We start from the raw sequence: 19798 nt of genomic DNA, 5'->3' as shown, positions 1-19798 counted from the left end.
CTGCCTCATCATCCTGAACAGCTGTGACAACAGGCACACACCATCATAACCTGGCCAATTATTTTTTTATTCTTCTATTTTATTTATTATTTATTTATTTTTAATTACTTAGTTGGTTATTTAGTTATTGGACTGACTGTAGAGATGGGAGGATCTCACTATGTTGACCAGGCTGGTCTTGAACGCCTGACCTCAAGAGATCCTACCACCTCGGCCTCTGAAATTGTTGGGTTATAGGCATGAGCCACTTCGCCCAGTCAAAACTATTTTTTAAATAACTAATGCCTCTATGTACTAAGAACTTTCATGACCACTACCTTATTTGATATTTCAATATTTTATCTTTATATTGGTATCATATTTAAGATATTCATCTGATTTGATAGCCCCCATTATTCTAGTCCATAAAGAAATAGAAAAAAGATCAGTGGTTGCTAGGGGTTAGGGAGAGAATGTGGCAGTAAAGGGATAGCACAAGGAGTTTTCTAGAGTGACAGAGCTGTTCTGTATCTTGACTACAGTTGGGGGTTACACAACTACACACATATTAACATTTACTGATGTATGCCAAAAGAAAAAAAGTCAGTTAAAAAAATTTAACTGCACTTCTTTAACAGCATGATCTAGAACATGCTTGGTATAACAATATTCCTCCCGGACTTCATTTGCTTTCAATGCCACAGTTTTTAGCTCATGAAATAAAATGACTTTGTAGAAATACTTCAGTCCTTTGATTGTTCAGTTTTTTATGTACATTCTCATGAAACAGTTGCCAATTTATTTTTAAAAACATCACTAAGTTATATTGATATATCAACATTTTAAAATCCAAGTTATAACAAAGTCAGACTTTACAAAAGTTACTGCCTTACAAATTTCCTTGAGTTTCACTATATGAAAGTCTACATTAAATAATAAGAAAGTCTACTTTAAGTCTCTGCTCACAACCATTTCAATCTTAGGAGGGAGGGAGACAAAATTTACTGAGTATCTACCTCCACATGTGTGCCTGACATTACTGCAACTGTCTTGCTTCACTAGACAATCTCACCACCCCTGGGAGGGAGGTGTCTTTCCAATTTTACAAAGAAAAAACATGGGGTTCAGCAGGTTAAACAATGTAGCCCACGGGTCTGGGCTAATAAGGTAGTGGTGCCAAAATAAGCCAGAGCTTTTTTAAAAAGGGCTAATTTTAGTGTGCCCCAAAAATAAGGGTATAAATTTACAGTACATGGAAATGTATAAATGAAATTCACAGAGTCAGTGCAAAATACTGATTTGTCATCTCTAAAAATAAACAACTGTCAAGTTATTTGCTATGTGATAAAAATTCTTCCAACCAAGAAATCTGAGATTATGCTAACAAGCCAATTTCATGCACTAGATTTTACTAGTAACAAAGAAAGCAAGCTCTTTCATATTGCTTATTACCAAGAACTAAAAATATCTAGCATTTTAGGTTAAGAACATAACTTATTAGTGATGTCCATCACATAAGCAGTAACTCAAGGATAAAGTATCATATACCCAAAGGTTTTTTTTTTTTTTCTTTTTTTTTCTGCCCCAACTCTTAACTTCTTAGAGTCCAAACTCCTACTGTTAAAATTCAAGGTCTTCTACAGTCTGGCCCCAAGTTAATTTTTGAAATTTCCTCTAACTATTCAGCTTCCTAACACTCTACTCAAGCCACAGCTGAATTCTTTCTATTGCCCAAGCTCAATTTATACCTCATGTCTAAGCATTTGCTCATATACCCGCTTTACTCCTCTCAAGGAAATTCAACCCCATCCTACAAGTCCAGCTCAGTTCTCTCCTCCTACAGTAACCCTACCCAAACTATCAGTTCAGAAAAGTCTCCTTCCTTCCCTAGAAGTATAAGACTTAACTATTCATAATGTACATAGTGTTATTGTGTTAAACTGATATTTATCTCACTTTTTTCATGTATGTCTTATTTCTACATGTCAGAGACCTGTTACGTCCATTCTTGTATCATCCTCACCTAGTGGGTAGCCAGAAAATGTGTATTTTTTAAAATTTTAGGCTACAAGTTAAATAAGATGGTACTTAAATATATGTATGGATACATACGACATGATACATAAATGCCTAATGTATGCTCAACCTAGACACAGTATTACAGTTTCCCTTTAGGAATAAAAACGTTTAAAACACACATTTTATCTTTTTTGCAATTAAAGCTTCTAAGCAGAGTAAATCCAACAGCAAATTCCTATATTCCCTTTTCTTATCACTAATTTAAATTATAATCAGTTTATTGGTTATTATTTGGCCATGTACACTTCCCCCTGAAAGTCCAGTTACACCATCTACATATAACTTACAAAAGTTGTGGAGTACTACCACAAATGCAATTAATAGGCTAAAATTAAGGCATAAACAACCAGCCTTAGAAGTGGTAGCTATAAATAAATATTCTCTCTTGGGAAATTAAAAATAAATCTACAAGCAAAATATAAGTACAAGCTGGTACTAAGGCCACCTGCTTTAAGCTTTTAAATTCTAGTGGGTTATCTATGCACATACTACCATACAAAATCATGAGAGTCAGAAATACAGCAAATCATAAGGCCACCTAGTTTAATGAGGCAATACCACACAATGGTTAACAGAACAGGCTCTGGAGGCAAACTATACAGACCCTGTCTAACTCCATTACTCACTCGACTAACAATGCAGCCTTAAAAGCAAGTTAACAACCTCACTGTGCCTCCATGAGTAACAACAGTACCTACCTTAGGATAAGTATTGAGTTAATATATGTAAAGTGCTTAGAAGAGTGGCTGGTATATGTAAGTGCTCAATAAATATACTACTGAATTACACATGGCACTAATGTATCTATTGTTTCAATTAATATATTTTATCAAACATATACTTTATCCATGGCCAATATATTTACAGATGTACTTGGGTTTACCAGATACATACTGTCTTCTGTCTATTTCACCAGATGAGTTTCCTACCCATATAAACTATACCTTCTTTCTCATTTAGGACTTTCTACAATAGCAATACCCAATAGAAATATAATGTAAGCCACAACTGTAATTTTAATTCTTCTAGTACCCACGTTTTTTAAAAGTAAATAATGTATTTAACCTAGTATGTCTAAAATGTTATCATTTCAATGTGTAATCAATCCAAAATAATTAACAAGATACTGTACATTTATTTTTTCATACTAAGTCTTTGAAATCTGGTGTGTATTTTATACTTACAACACATCTCAATTTGACTAGCCACATCACAAATAGTCAGTGCTATGTATTACTCTAGTAGATGCCATGTTGGACAGTGCTGCTTAATATACTTCTGCGCATAGGTGTGTATACTGCATACTGATGACTACAAAATCAAATCTTTAAAACTTCCATGCTGTATTAAATTTGTTGAAAACAAGTAAGAATTTGGTATTATAATTTATGAGTTCAAAATCTTAAGACTTCTCCAACATGAAGCATTTAAAGTGCCTAGTTTCTCAAAACTACTTTACAGATGAAGAAACCCAGAGAAGTAAAGTAATTTAGTGTATTGTAAGAGTTACCAGGAAAATTTCCTTTTTTGAGTCCTAGGCCTTCCTACAATCAAACCCCTCTTCAAAATCAGGGTAGCCCCGGGCCAGGTGCAGTGGCTCACGCCTATAATCCCAGCACTTTGGGAGGCCGAGGCAGACGGATCACGAGGTCATCCTGGCTAACACGGTGAAACCCAGTCTCTACTAAAAAAAATACAAAAAATTAGCCAGGTGTGGTGACACGCACCTGTAGTCCCAGCTACTCAGGAGGCTGAGGCAGGACAATCACTTGAACCTGGGAGGCGGAGCTTGCAGTGAGCTGAGATTGTGCCACTGCACTCCAGCCTAGGCAACAGAGTGAGACTCTGTCTCAAAAAAAAAAAAAAAAAAAAATCAGAGTAGCCCCTAAATTAGCTGAGACTGTAGTCAGACTATCCAAGTTTGAATCCTAGCTTGGCCACTTAATAACTGTGAAATTTCCAACCTGTTACTTCCTCAGTTGTAAAAAATAGGGGTGATAATAGCAGTACCTACACACCAAGGGGTTGTGAAAATCAGATGAGTTAATACATGTAAGGTATTTGGAACAGCAACTGGTGCAGAGTATACATACTGAGTAAATGCTGGTGATTATTAGTTATTAAAAGGAAGCTGATATAGCTAGATTAAGACACATCAGTTTGGATTTAGACACAAGTGCCTCACGTGAAGTTTAAGAGCGTAACCAGTTTTTTGCATGTTTTAAGTGTAATGGTGGGTTGCTTGTACAGAAGCAACTAGAGTCCTGACTGGCTCTCTTCAGGATGGGGTGGGGCCACAGGGCACTCCCTGATCCCTGCCTTACACAGACCTCTTAGCAGAATTACTCTTTCTTCTTTGACCAGATGGGACAGAATAGGCTCTTTCCCCACCTTATCTTGCCTATGTAGTAAGATAACTGTGGGCTGGGCGCGGTGCTCACGCCTGTAATCCCAGCACTTTGGGAGGCCAAGGCGGGCAGATCACGAGGTCAGGAGATCGAGACCATCCTGGCTAACATGGTGAAACGCTGTCTCTACTAAAAATACAAAAAATCAGCTGGGCATGGCAGCAGGCACCTGTAGTCCCAGCTACTCAGGAGGCTGAGGCAGGAGAATGGCATGAACCCAGGAGGCAGAGCTTGCAGTGAGCCGAGATCGCGCCACTGCACTCCAGCCTGGGCGACAGAGCGAGACTCCGTCTCAAAAAAAAAAAAAGAAAGAAAGAAACTGTGAAGAAGTTGTACTTCTTGGAGTGGAAATTCCTCCCTTTCTTCCCCACTAAGTCTGGGAAGGTAAAGAAGATAACATTAAATATGCTTTCATTGTACTCACATCTTGAGAACTGTATTCTCCAAGCCCACTCACTTGTATGGTACAATGGTGGAGAGGGGAATGCTGCTATCAGAACTACATCTGAAATATGAAATGTCTGTAATAAGATTAAGATACTTGCCAGGGTCACACTGTAGCAGATCTAGGGCTAGATCTATAGTCTAAGTCGCATATTCTCAACTCTAAACCAGGATGAGGTCATATGAACCTATCAGTACAATGGAAAACTGATCCTGGGCCAAAAAGTGATTACAGATTGAGAGGAAATGATTTGATGGTTTAAGATTACACAAATTTAGAGTCCATAATTTTAACATTGTAACAGAATCTGAAGAATGTCCTTATGGGCAAGGTAACTGCCTTCGGTGAGCATCATTTGTTAATTCCTTATGGAAATATAGTAATGATATTGGAAACAGACATTGAGGACAGAATTCAGGATTGCTGAGAACCTAATACGAGCTTTGCACTGACTTGTTACACAACTCTGCACTCCAAGACCCTCTCTAGCTCTACAATTCTCAGTGTCTAGGGAAAGGGGTCTAAATCAATGCAGCCTAGGTGGTAGGAATCTGGAATGTGGGAGTTATTGAGTGCTAAAACTTATTTCCAGAGGAAAAAACGAAAGAGAATATCTAAGAGACAATATCTAAGAGTCAATATCTAATCTGAAAAAGCAAGAGCTAGGGACAACCAAGCTGTTTTGAATATAAACCATTAAAAGAAAAGAGAAAGTAAAGACAGTTCCAAGGTCAGTGCCATCAGGCAATTGCCATGTTGGTGAGGGATGTGGCTGCAAAGTCAGCACAATCTCAATCTCAAATCAGTCATTACTGAGCATGAAGCCAACATTACCTTTTTTCTCCAAGTTATAAATGGATAATAATCTACTGTTACTTTAGCAGCAAGCTATGAAGATTGCACACACATGACCAAATTTTAGTGTTGGAAATTTTAGAAACTTACAGCCAAAGTAATCTGATACAAATTTACTAATATTCCTGATTGCTGTGATTCACAGTCTCTAGACCTAACTGGAAAAAAATTCATGTGATTTACTGTAGTAACTACAACTACTACAAAGCCAAACATTCTAAAAAGAGCAGTAAGGAAAACAGGGTTTTTCCCTGGGTTGATGCTGAAGACCTCTAAAGCTTTGATGGTTTTTCTTTTTAACAGCTTTATTAAGATATAATTCACATACCATAAAATCCACACATTTAAAAGTGTACAACTCCATGGTTTTTGGTATATTCAGAGGAATGCAGTAATCACCACAATTTTAGAACACTGCATCACTCTCACTTGGGTTGAGGAGTGCTTGTGGTCTGCTCTCCTTACCTGGTTCACCTGGGCTCAGCACTTGGCCCAAGAGTCACTCTCTCAGACAGGACTGTGCTGACTGTACAACTTAAATTATAACACCAGCATCAGGTAACACACTTCAACTCCTGGTTCAGCACTTAGCCCAAGAGTCACTCTCTCAGACAGGACTCTGCTGACTGTACAACTTAAATTACAACACCAGCATCATGTAACACACTTCAACTCCACCTAACACATCTCATCCCCATTTAACACACTTCAAGCACCACTCACATTGCTGCCCACCCACCCTTAAGCCTCTACTTTATTTTTCTCAGGACTGGTTGTATTTAGTATTTCAAATGTTTTACTTATTTTCTGTTAACTCTGAAAGGCAGATTTTAGTTTGTTTTATTAACTGCTGTACCCCCCAGGGCCCAGAACATGACACACTGTAAAAGTTTAATGTTTATAGAAGGGAAAAAGGGAGAGAGAGGAAAGAAGGAAATGGCTGCCCTACTACAAATGTCACTATTTTATGTTTGTTTCAATTTATTAAATTACGGATTTTCTATACCATTTTTCTCCTTTATAATGAAGGACGTCCAACCAGAGAAAACTAAAATAAATGAAGTTAACTAAACTTGCCACCATTGCAGACTCCAGTATCTATGCTTTAAAGATTGGTTCCCAACTTTGCATTCTTTCAAGTCTTTACTGAGTGCCTTAGCTGGGTACCATGGGAAATACAAAAGAATTATAAGGCAAAGTCACTTTCTTCCAAAGGTCTACCATCTATGTGAGCAAGACATGTACAAATTAAATGCATACCATCTTTTTTTCTGCCTTTGTTTTTGTTTCTTAAAAATGTGAGTTAACAATACCTAGTAAATATCATAGAATTTTAGGAGAAAAAATGATAATCTAGGTGAACTAGCATAGTCAGGAACTACCTAGAGAAAGTAGTGTTATTATAGTAGGTGGAACTGAAGTAACCAATAGCACCAAACACATAATGGCTTAACACAGTAATTTGCTTCTTGCATATGTAATACTCATAGGGTGGAGGAGGAAGGCTCACATTGGTGGGGCAATTCTCTTACATAGTCATTCAGGGACCTAGGCTGCTTGCACTGTGGCTCTGCATTTCCCTGGTTTCACATCATGGTACACATCCAACCAGCAAGAAAGGTAAGAATGTGGAGGAACACTACACATCATTTTCCACTCACATTCCATTGGCTAGAACTCAGTCACAAGAGCTAGCTAGCTCCAGGTTCAGGATGAAAAGAACAAATTCTGGTAGGAATTTGGTAGTCTCTGCCACTAGAGGATTTGAAATGAACGATGGGTGGCACATAACTGGGAAGGAGGGAACCATGTGAACAAAAACAAGCAAATCAAAGCTAAGTAACAGTACACTGGAAGAGTGAGAGGACAAGTCTGGCTGTATTCTGGGGAGCAGCAAGAGAAGAGTAAGGGTGGTTAGGTCAGTGGTTCTCAAACGCTAAACTTAAAACCAATCCCCAATATATGTCAAATTTTCCACCATTCTACAATGAAATGAGAATAAATACAAGTACATATCTTGTTAATAATGCTAAATGTTATAATTCAACTTCTGTAACTTACACATAATGTGATAACATAATATAAAAATTTAATGCTTTAATTTTTATGTTAAATTTTTTTAACAGGTCAGTTAAGGCTGTCCAAAGTTCTTTCTAAGATAATGCTCTTTCCTGACTATAACAAAGTCAGTCTTTATCCCATAGGCAATGAGGACTTACTGTCACTTTCCAGTTTATCATGTATTTTTAGTGGTTTAATATTTTCTAACAAGCCTGTATTGCTTTGGAAATTAGAAAATATTTAGTCCTAAAAGCCATAAGGGTTTAAATATACAAAACAAGAGTTATCAGGGAGTGAGCAGAAAGGCTTACCAGACCACATATATAAACTATACTCAAAATATATGCTGAAGTAGAAAGGCATCTGACTCTTCTGAGCCCAATTTCAAACTATTCTATAAACATATAACATATATGACAAATACGAAGCCCAAAAGGGAGTTTAAGAAAGCAGTAAATTAGCATGCTAAAAAACAATCTGCTATAGCATTAATCCAAATGTTCCTATAGCATTAATTCAAAGTTCCATTCCTAAAGGAACTCCTTTTCACCTAAAAATGGCATAATCTACTATTTTCCTATTTACTATAGGTTACAGAGGAAAATGTTTAGTTACCATTAAATACAGCAATGAAGAAAGTAAAGTGCTCTTTTTGCTAGAGAAATTCAAATGTCATCATTCAACTATGAGATAAAAATAAATTTTATTTGGAATAAAAGTGTTAAATTTAAATCTTAAACAAAAAGAACACTTAAGAGCAACTATTTATGACAATGGAAACGTGAATTTAAGACAAAGTTAATTCCTAACCTCTAATAAAATCATAGTTCTATAAAAAAAATCACTTGTTCAACCTTTCTTCCTTACACACCACTAATGGCAAGTATTGAAAAAGATGACATTGCACGATACTGCCTTAAAAATAGAGAAAAAAGCTGTCCAAAAAATTAAAACGGTACAAATTCCATTAACTGGAAGCCTAGTGTAGTGCTTCATTAAGTTCCAAATACGTCATGTAAACGTTAGCTATATATCTTTCTAGTCAGCTTAAAACTATTCAGCTAAGCGGGGACCAAACCAAATGAAGCCAACCATGCATGGAAAACATCTGCTGATAATTCCTAAAGTTAATGGTTTCTAATAGTAGTATATATCTCTTATCACAATGCTTTCCATGGAAAATATGCAATTATTCACTGGTGAAAGATCACACTAAGTGACTTAACAATATTACAAAAACCAGTATTAGTACCATATAGCAGTCTGTTAATGTTTGGATAATTTAATTAGTCAGGGTTTAATAAACCTTCTGCTTAAGTGAGTTACTGTTTTTAAAAAATTTAACACACATATACCATACCATACCATACCATACCATAGCATACCATAACATATCATACCATAGTAAAAGATGTGCAAAGTTATTTCTACAAACAGAATTTTAGGTCACTGAAATTCAATTTAAAACACATATGGAAAATGAAATATTTGATAAATAGTTCAACTTATTTTAAAATGAAATCACTTTTTTAAAACTGTCAAATGTTACTGAATGTTACACTCTCAAATGTACATACAGTTAAACACTGATCATAATAGTTCTAGTCATATTAAAATTTGATGGCTAACATTTATAGAATGTGTGGCCAAGCTTTCCTCTAAGCTCTGGACAAAGAAACAGAAACTAGATCTGCATTAGAGATTTTATTCTGCACAACATAGCTCTTGCCCACAGTACTTTTCTAGTGCTATTATCTTAAAATTACAATAAAATAACATTGGTTAAACGCAAAGCCAGGAAGTTATAATGAAACTGAGAAAACCCCCAAAATTTAAAAGTCTCAAAACTAGAATCACATGGTACAACGAGTTAATACACTAAAAAATAATAATAATACCAGAATTATTTCCAAAAGAGCCCTGTGGCTTTCAAAATGACTGATTTGGGAAGGCCACAATACTTATTCCCATAATGCTGTCAATACTTATAATATTTTTAGAACTCCTTTATGGGAAATCCCTGCAGAACCTTTAGCACATTCTATTAATTATCCTCAATGAATGGTAACAAATCTCCAAACTTTGAAAGCGAATTTGAGTTTTTGAAGCAATTAAAGAGTCTCATGGGGCCTAATACAGAGAATATGATGGATCAGCAAGCAGGGCCATCTATATTTGGTCCAAAATCAGATGTAAACATGGGTAATAGACTAATTTTCCTGGGAGGCCACCTGGGAAGACAAAACCTCTAAGGTGACTGCTCTGAAGCACATTTCTCACTTAGATATCAATATAACTCAATTTCACAAATAAATAGGATCCAGTTCAACATTCTCATTTTACTAACAAGAAAATGAAGTTTCTAAAAGGTAAAAAAAAATGCCCCAAATCACTGAACTATTTAGTGGCAAACTGGGGCCTAAAAGTCAGGTCTCCTAATTCCTGTTCAGTACTCGTTCCCATTCACTATGCTGCCCATAAAATTTAAGGCTTGAGAATAAAGTAGAATTGCCTTTAAAATCCAGTAGGAGTTTTAGTTTTAAATACAAGTTAAGACAACTGGAAATGGATATGGTAGGTCTAGGCCCTAAACTGGGTCTGGTTTGCAATGCCAGATCTCTTATAGCTCAACCAAAATGTATGAATGTGGGTTTGCTTATGCAGACATTAAAAAAAAATTAAAGATGAGTTTTCATCATCACTAGTAGCATTTGTTGAGCATTCACTATGCCAGACACTTTGCCAGGCCCTTTTGCTTGCAGTGCTTCATTAAATCCTCAGAACAACCCTATGGAGGTAGACACATTATATCCTCACTTTAAAGATAAAGACAGTGAGATCTACTAAGGTTGAATCATATAATCAGAGTTACTAAGCGTGGCAGGTTGTATTTTCTAAAGATGGTTATAAAAATACATTCTTTTTCTTAATAAACTTTTTTACTTTGGAGTAGTTTTAATTTTATTTATTTTATTTTTATAGAGACAGGGTATCCCTATGTTGCCTAAGCTGGTCTCGAACTCCTGGGCTCAAGTGATCCCCCCAACCTCAGCCTCCTGAAGTGCTGGGATTAGAGGTGTGAGCCACTGTGCTTGGCCTAGAGTAGTTTTAAAATTGTGATGATAGGACAGAATTTCCATACACTCTATGCTCAGTTTCCCCTAATATTAATGTCTTATGTTAGTAGATACATTTGTCACAACTAATGAAGCAATATTACATTTGTATTAACTAAAGTCCAAATTTATTTAAATTTGCTTAGTTTTTATCTCATGTTCTTCTGCACCAGGGTTCCATTAGAATACCACATTACATTTAGCCATCATGTCTCCCTTGGCTCCTCTTGGCCATGACAGTTTCTCCGACTTTCCTTGCTTTTGATGATCTAAGATTCTAAAAAGCTGAGACTGGACCCCAAGTGTATCTTACTCCAGAGAGGGTGCTTCTTAACCATACTACTAAACAATTTCCTGTAATCCAAACTGCTTGTCCTTAGGTTTGTTTGGGTTTTGCTTTTTTTTTTTTTAATAGGGACAGGGTTTCACAATGTTGACCAGGCTGCTCTTAATCGAACTACTAGCCTCAAGCGATACTCCTGCCTCAGCCTCCTAAAGCACTGGGCCTAAATTGGCAGACATATCACATTTGGAAAGTAGATCCTACAGCAATGCTTTATCTTCCAGTAACTACATTACTACACAGCATATTCAAAAGAATATATGAATGAGCTGTCACGGCATATAAGACCATGTGGCTCCAAAATATAAGTAACATCATTCTCAGTGACAAGACCAAGGAAGTTACGTATTAACTTTTTTCTTTTAAATAGCCATACATTCTTTCCACACAGTTTTGGAAAGATATATACTAGAGATTTTTTAAAATATTCAAATAATTCCTATCTGCTTTCATTTAATGGCAGGAGTGCTTATAAAATATTATTAGATTTATTATACACATTTTAGGATTAAGTTGTAGCCAGTGCTAATTATAACATGCCTGGAAAAAAAATCTAACCTACACTGATTAAAATTCTATTTATAAAGGAAAAATGTAAACCACAGAAACAGTGCTTAGTTTAGAACAAGAACATGTACATAACTGCCAAATGCAATCCCTATTTAGATGTCTGTCTTACTGAACACTGTAATCACAAAAACCAAAATGAATTTCTAAGTGTTTTAAGATGAAATAGTTTTTGCATAACTTTCAAGGCTTATAATTACTTCCCTGAAAAGGTAAATAATCCAAGTTTCAATTTATTTATAATACTAGTTCTCTAGAAGTTAACAGATTGAATACTCAGCTTTACTATACATGGAAGCCTCCTACAAAATTCAGAATCTCTCAAATTAACAATTAAATGCTAATCAAAGAAAAATTATTGGAAGTCAAAGGCCAATACTAAGTTCCTACAGCCATTTATGGATAATGCAAACCCCTAGGCTTACTGAATGGGTTTTTAAGACTCCTCGAATACTCTGGGGTAGCAAAGTATACATCTAAACTGATTGCCCAGAGAAATGAATCATTAACTACATACACGGTCTCTGCTTCCTCACTTCCCATTCCCTCCTCAATCAACTTCCCTCTTCAGTCAGCTTTCTGCCTCTACCATTCCACTGAAACCACTTTGGCAAAAAAGTCCACTTTCATGTAGCCACATCCAATAGCTACTTCTCTGTCCTCATTTTACTCTACCCTCTTGGCAGCATTCCACACGCATGGCCACTTCCTCCTTGAAATGCTAGCCTCTCTTGGCTTTTGTGACAACACTCTCCAGGTTTTCTTCTGACATCGGTGATCCTTCTCTCCTAGTTGGCTTGGTTGGCTCCCCCTCCTCTACCAGACCTCTAAATGCTGAGGCTTCCTATCACTCAGCCATCAGTTGTCTTCTCTCTATCCTTTTCCTCCTCCCTCTTCCTTTGTGCTATCTTTATGCTGATATTACCAAAATATCTCCAACACATTATCTTAGCTGCAGACCGACCCACAGGTTCATCTACTTACCTAACACTTGCGTGTAATCTTACAATGTAAATCCAGTTACATAATTTCCCAGTTTAAAAGCCTTTAACGGCTTTCCATTGAGCCTAGAGTAAAAATCGAATTACCACTCCCCTTCTACCTCTGTGCTAACTAACCTCTTCTGCCAGGTTCCCCAACAGGCCACATCCCACCTCAAGGCTTAGTGCAAACTGTCCAGGCTACCTTCTCAGACTTTGTTTCACTACCTCTGTTTCTTCCTTTAGGTTTTAGGTGTCAGCTTAATGTCAACTCCTTAAACAAGCTCTAAGGCTGACCACTACTTAAAGCAAGTTCCCCTCAATAGTGATTTTGTCTCAGTCCTGAGTGCTTCGTTTATGGCTCTCATTACAGCCAGCAGTTGTTTATTCATTTGTCTGTTTCCTGGTTTTCCACCTGTCATTCCCTCTAGAATCTTAGTTCTATAGTTCTGTAGTTGTAAGGACCATATTGATATTGTGCACTATTATATCCTCAGCAAAAAACCCCAGCACACTTTGAAAGAGCTCGAATTTTCCCCAACCCCAGAAACAGTCTCACTCTATTGCCCAGGCTAAAACTGCAATGATGGGATCACACCTCACTGCAGCCTTGAACTCCAGGCCTCAATTGATCCCCTCGCCTAGGCCTCCCAAAGAGGTGGAATTACAAGCATGAAGCATCATACCCTGCATGAAAGAGCTCAATTTCTACTTGATGGAGGGCTTAATATAAAAAAGAGAAAAAGTCAGATAAATTGATACTGTCATTTTATATTTTTTCCAGGAATTCAAAAGCTAGTATAGGCCAGGCGCAGTGGCTCAAACCTGTAATCCCAGCACTTTGGGAAGCCAAGGCAGGTAGATTACTTGAACTCAGAAGTTGGAGACCAGCCTGGGTAACATGGCAAAACCCCATTTCTACAAAGAAAAAATATAAAAATTAGCCGAGCATGGTGGTGTACACCTGTAGTCCCAGCTACTCAGGAGGCTGAGGTGGGAGGACAGCTTGAGCTATCCAAGATCGAGCCACTGCACTCCACCCTGGACAAAAGAGCAAGCCCCTGTCTGGAAAAAAGAAAAAAAGTAAGTGTAACAAATGTCGTTCAGCTGATCAGTCTTTGGCCCTTTTGCTACTTTTATATGGGGTCCTTTTTATTAAACAGAATACTAATACAACAAATATAAAAGTATTAACAGGAAAATAATGTCATTTTACATCCACAATATTTTAAATAGCCTCCAATGTGTTTTCAAAGGTTTATCTCTATGATGTAATGAGATACAGTATAAAAGGATGAAAGTGTTTAACCTGATTGAAATACAGAAGGCAGGGATTATTTCCATTTTAGAGATACAATCACTAAGGCAAAGAGGTCAATGAGTTACCTAAAATCACAGATGTTCAGTGGTGGAGCTGAGGTCCGAACTCAGTTTTCCTGGCTCCCAATCCAGTCAATCTTTTGTTTCTTTTACTTTTTTCTTTTTTGTGTTTCGTTTTGGTACATACTTTCAGCCTTCTTAAAACTGTAGTGTTCAGTAAAATACACAAATCCTAAGTATATGACTTAATAAATTTTTTACAAAGTTAGTATCCAGATCGAGACAGAGTATTGCCTGCAACCCAGAAGCCTCCTTCATGCATGTCCCTTCCCAATAATTAACTACTCCACTGGTAACCACAATTCTGAATTCTATGACCATCAGTAGTCTTACCTGTCTTTTATCTAAATGGAATTAACAAACATATACACAGCCAGGCATGGTGGCTCACACCTATAATCTCAGCACTTTGCGAGGCTGAGGCAGAGGGACTGCTTGAGTCCAGGAGTTCTAGACCAGCCTGGGTAACATGCTGAGATCCCACCTCTACAAAAATGGGAGGATAGCTTGAGCAATCCTCCACAGATGGGGATGGCGACATGAGCCTGTGGTCCCAACTACTTGGGAGGCTGAGGCAGGAGGATCACTTGAACCCCAAAGTTGGAAGCTGCAGAGAGCTATGATCACACCACTGTAGTCCAGCCTGGATGACTGAATGAGACCCTGTCCCAAAAAAAAAACCAAAGAAAATAAAAAACAAAAAACAAGTATATACTCTACTGCATCTGGCTGCTTTTATTCAACATGTCTGTGAGATTCACCCAAATAAGTAAGTGCCACAATTGTTTCTTCTTGCTCATTGCTGTACGGTATTTCACTGTATAAATATCCCAAAATGTATTCATCTATTCTGTCTGACATCTGTGTATTTTTCAAGTTTGAGCTATATGAATAATGCCATTATGAACATTCTTATTTTGTAGATGAAGAAACAAAGGCCCTAAAAAGGGAAAAAAATACTTAAAGAAACACAGCAATTGGGCAACCCAAGTATATCCCAGGAGGCTTGATTCCCCTTTTACAATGTAACACAAGTCAGCAAGTCCATCTGAATCTTAACCTAAAGATCTTAAAAAATCTTGGACAATACAAAACCAAGTCTTAAGTTACAAATACTATGCCAAAGATTACTGTAGTTTCTGGTTATGAAAGTTACTTCATTTGTTTATGTGTGTCTATGTTTGGTTTTTTAAATTTATGTATCTACCTACCTACCTACCTACCTACCTATCTATCTATTTATTTATTTATTGACAGGTTCTCATTCTGTCATCCAGACTGGAGTGCAGTGGCACAATCATGGCTTACTGCTCCTGGGCTCAAGTGATCCTCCCGTCTCAGCCTCCTAAGTACTAGGACTATAGGCACACACCACTACACTCAGCTAAGAAGTAACTTATTTTTACACATATAACTATTCTATAGAGATTTACCTCATCTACAGTCAAATAAAATTTTGTTTCCCAGATTAGAAATGTACCAAATTGGGAATTCTACCAGAATATGAACAGAGAAAACAGTCCCAACTTATGAGCAGGTAGCATGCTAAAACTCTGCATTTAAATCAGCTGTTTGGAATTCAGAATGCATTTTCCCACAAAAATTATGTTATAAAAAGTGATCAGGTTTTCACGTCAGCCTACAAAAGCCAACTTCACAAAAATGTACCTGAAAATAGCACTAATAACAACACAGTCTTTAACCATTATGAATAAATGCTTAACTTCAAATAATGATTTATAAAACTATCTCCTAACACCCCAATCTCGTGTTAACTCATAAACTGTGGGAGGCCCAGTTCCAAATGCTTCTGTAACTGGCTTATGCCTTTTTTTTTTTTTTTTTTTAATCCCTCACTAACACTTTTGACTTTACGTTCCCAAATCCTGGGCCACAGAATTCAGACCACAAAATTCCTTAATTCCTATCCCTTAAGTAAATCTTTGAGATTTTTCACTGCTAGAAAAACTTTCAGGGGGGAGAGAGAGAAATTAGAAAAACAGAAGGAAAATCGTAAAATTTCAAGAAGTCTTAAAAAGTTGTTCTGTTTTTACCAAAACGGGCACAGAGTCAGGTAGGATTTTTCTAACCTCCTACTTTCATTAAAATATTCTTCTCGGGAGCCCTGCTCAATCTTTCTAGACTTCTTAAAATCCTAGGCTGGCCACCTCTGAGTGTCTCTCCTTTCACTAGGAAAGCCTCCAATTTAATTTCTTCTCACATTCCTTCTCATTACTCAGGGATAGCCTAAATGGAAAGATAAAGTGATATGTTGATAACATCAAGTCTTTAGGTATGCGCAGAAGTGAAATCAGGGAGAGATGAAGCCTAAGGGGTGCTCAGGCCATTAGGGTCACAATCTGTGACTTAGTTGTATACCAGTTAGAGGCTATATACAGATACTTTGGAGCAAACAAACCATTTCATAAATGGACACCAAACAAGTATCCAGAAATGAGAATGACCTACCTTATATATCACAATATAATATTCCTTTCTTCTTTAAGGCTCACATTATCTTTCCAGTAATTAGACCGAAGATGTATTCCATATTTTCTCCAAACAACAAGCACTAACCTGAATACACCACAAACAGGTACAATCCAAGGCATCAAAAGGCTAGCTCTAATTTGATGAAATTAATTTACCTACAAATGGAGAAATCGATTTCTATTTAGTCTAGGTGATAAAAACAAAAAGGACAACAGCTATCCTAGCCTTAAAATCCAATAAAGAGGGTGGTAAATGTCTCTGAAAATCAAAAGAAACCTACAAGTCATAAATGCCCTCAAAGGATTCTTAGGCACAGGAACAAGCGTTGATTCACTAAACATCAAAGAATGGATGCTTTAAAGAAAAAAGAAGGTAAGATTGTGTCATTCTATCAAGTAAGTCTTTAGAGTAAGTAAAATACCTTATGGGCCAAAAATTAAAATGAACTGCAAAACTTATGTACAAATTATTAACTATCACTTCTGTGACTGAAGCTAATAAGAGAATCACACACTTAAGTATGACAGTGTAAAGAGGTATCCAAAAGTAATTTGAGCTAGCTTAATACAGACAACTAAATACACCCTCAGAGAGCTGACAGCCTGTAAGCCAGCAGTCCCCAGCCTTTTTGGCACCAGGAACTGGTTTCATAGAAGACGATTTTTCCATGGATGGCAGGGGCAGGGGAAGGGGTGGTTTCAGGATTCAAGCACATTACATTTATTGCGTACTTTATTTCCACTATTACTACTACACTGTAATATATAATGAAATAATTATACAACTCACCATAATGGTAGAATCGGCGAGCGTTCTGAGCTTGTTTTCCTGAGACTAGATGGTCCTATCTGGGGATGATAGGAGACAGTGACAGATCATCAGGCATTAGATTCTCCTAAGGAACATGCAACCTAGATCCCCTGCAAGCACAGTTATAGGGCCTGCGTTCCTGTAAGAATCGAATGCAGTGGCGGATCTGAGCAGAGGTGGAAATCAGGAGATAATTCAAGTGATGTGGAGTGGCTGTAAAGACAGATGAAACTTTGATTGCTGTCCTGCCATTCACCTCCTACCCACTATTATTTTACATAAACTGGTCCTGGTTCCAACACTTACTGTGTGACCCTGGGCAAATTATTTAACCTCTCTGGGTCCCAATATCTACACAAATAAATTGGACTAAAAGTGGTAGCTACTTAAAGACTATTGTGAGGATTAAATGACAAAGTAAACTGTCTTCAGCAGCTCCAGGAACAGAGTAAATCTTCAATAAAGGTTAGCTACTTTATTTCATCCTCTTGATGCATTAGTTACTTGAAATCACATCTATGACCTATACTACCTTTGGAACCTTCACAATGCCCCAGGACAGTGCTTAAGGTCCAGTGAATGTTCAATATTTATTGGCTGACGACTACTGGTTTATATGGAAGCTAGAACCATGAAGCTGAAGAAGACTTTAGAAGTCATCTGGAAAAGTTTCACTCTATTCAAAAATAAGACTCATAGTGGATTATCAAATCTTCACTTGAACACTTATAGAGAGAGAAACCTGCATCTCAACAAAGCATAAAGGAATAGTTCTAATTATTAGAATGTTCCTTGAGATTTCATTATACTGAAATCTTCTCAAAATCTTGCTTCTCAAAATATTTCTGAAAGGCTGAATTCACTAGAGGGCATCACATATTAGGAGAAACTGTATCAGAAAGAATCACTAAAAGGAAGGAATCATTCAACATTTATTCTGGCTAAAAGAAAAATACTGGGCTGAGTTGTATAAAACAGGCATGCCAATTTAAAAATTATTCTATTTAAACATGCATTAAAATGTTCAGAATGAATTAAAATGAAGATTCTGACAAATTAGGTCAAAAATCATAATAACTGCAAATGTTGTTGTATAGGTCAGTAATCCAGATTATCATAGAGCTGGGACTCTTTCCAACCCCATTATATAGCCTCCAATAATTGTATGCAATTTTAACGGTTACATGTTTATTTAAAAAAAGCATATAATACCAGATTACATTTAATACTGCCCCTTGCAGCCAGCCTCCAAGTCACCACCAGCTATCCAAAAAAGACCCAGTGCCAAAAAGAAAATTATAAGTTTCCATAAGACTAGTAAGGGACCATGACTCAATTTTGTAATCCCAGAACTGTGGGAGTCTGAGACAGAAGTATCACTTGAGCCCAGGAGTTCTAGACCAGCCTGGGCAACACAGTGAGACTCTGCCTCTACAAAAAAAAAAATTTATTAACCAGTGGTGGTGGCACATGCTTGTAATCCCAGCTGCTTGGAAGGCTGAGGCAGAATAATCACTTGAGCCCAGGAGTTCAAGGATACAATGAGCTATGATTGTGCCACTGTACTCCAGCCTGGGCAACAGTTAGACCCTGTCTCACACACACAGAATAAGACTAGCAAGGTAAATCTGAACCTGGATCTGTGTATAACTAACAAATTTAAGGCCAGGTGTGGTGGCTCATGCCTGTAATCCCAGCACTTTGAGAGACCAAGGTGGGAGAATTGCTTGAGCCTAGGAGTTCCAGACCAGCCTAGGCAACAAAATGAGACCTCATCTCTACAAAAAATTTTTTAAAAATTAGCCATGTGTGGTGGTGCACACCTGTGATCCCAACTACACAGGAGGCTGTGCCAGGAGGATCACTTGAGCCCAGGAGGTCAAGGCTACTGTGAGCTGGGATTGTGCCACTGCACTCCAGCCTGGGTGATAGAGTGAGGCCCTATTTAGAAAAAAAAAAAAAAAAGTTAAATTATTTAAAACCAAATCATTAAAACTGTTCATTCATTAACCAGGTAATAGCACAATTTTAAAAGCTCATCAGGCTCAAAGAGGATCCAGAACTGTACTCAAATATCTGTGGCACACGCCTGTATTCCCAGCTACTCAGAAGGCTAAGGCAAGAGGATCAAGGAGTTCAAGCCCAGCTTGGGCAACATAGCAAGTCCCTGTCTCTTAAATTTAAAAAACATCTTTTAACCCCCACTCACTGCAAGTCACAGTAACATGTAGAGAAAAATCTGATGGAAAACTAGGCATGATTTATAGCACACCTCTACACTT

General features: G+C 37.2%; 1 protein-coding gene across 11 annotated transcripts in view; it reads right to left on the bottom strand.

Moving 5' to 3' along the window:
* The window catches only part of LCLAT1 (lysocardiolipin acyltransferase 1), a 196980-nt gene that overhangs the window by 150095 nt on the left and 27087 nt on the right, over positions 1-19798 (bottom strand). Inside the window, exons 2-3 of one of the 11 annotated variants that reach the window (XM_047443868.1) lie at positions 17496-17554; positions 14220-14357 (exon numbers count right to left, since the gene is read on the bottom strand). The exons of 8 other annotated variants lie outside the window; for them this stretch is intronic. The gene's annotated coding sequence lies outside the window, so the exon portion shown is untranslated. Of the gene's footprint in view, positions 1-14219; positions 14358-17495; positions 17730-19798 lie in introns of all 11 variants that reach the window. 2 more of the 11 variants (NM_001304445.2, XM_017003746.2) reach the window with 2 other exon arrangements.

This window comes from Homo sapiens, chromosome 2 (assembly GCF_000001405.40).
Source record: "Homo sapiens chromosome 2, GRCh38.p14 Primary Assembly".
Taxonomy (NCBI): Eukaryota; Metazoa; Chordata; class Mammalia; order Primates; family Hominidae; genus Homo; species Homo sapiens.
Note: the sequence above shows the minus strand (reverse complement) of the source record. Positions and strands in the feature narration are given on the sequence as shown.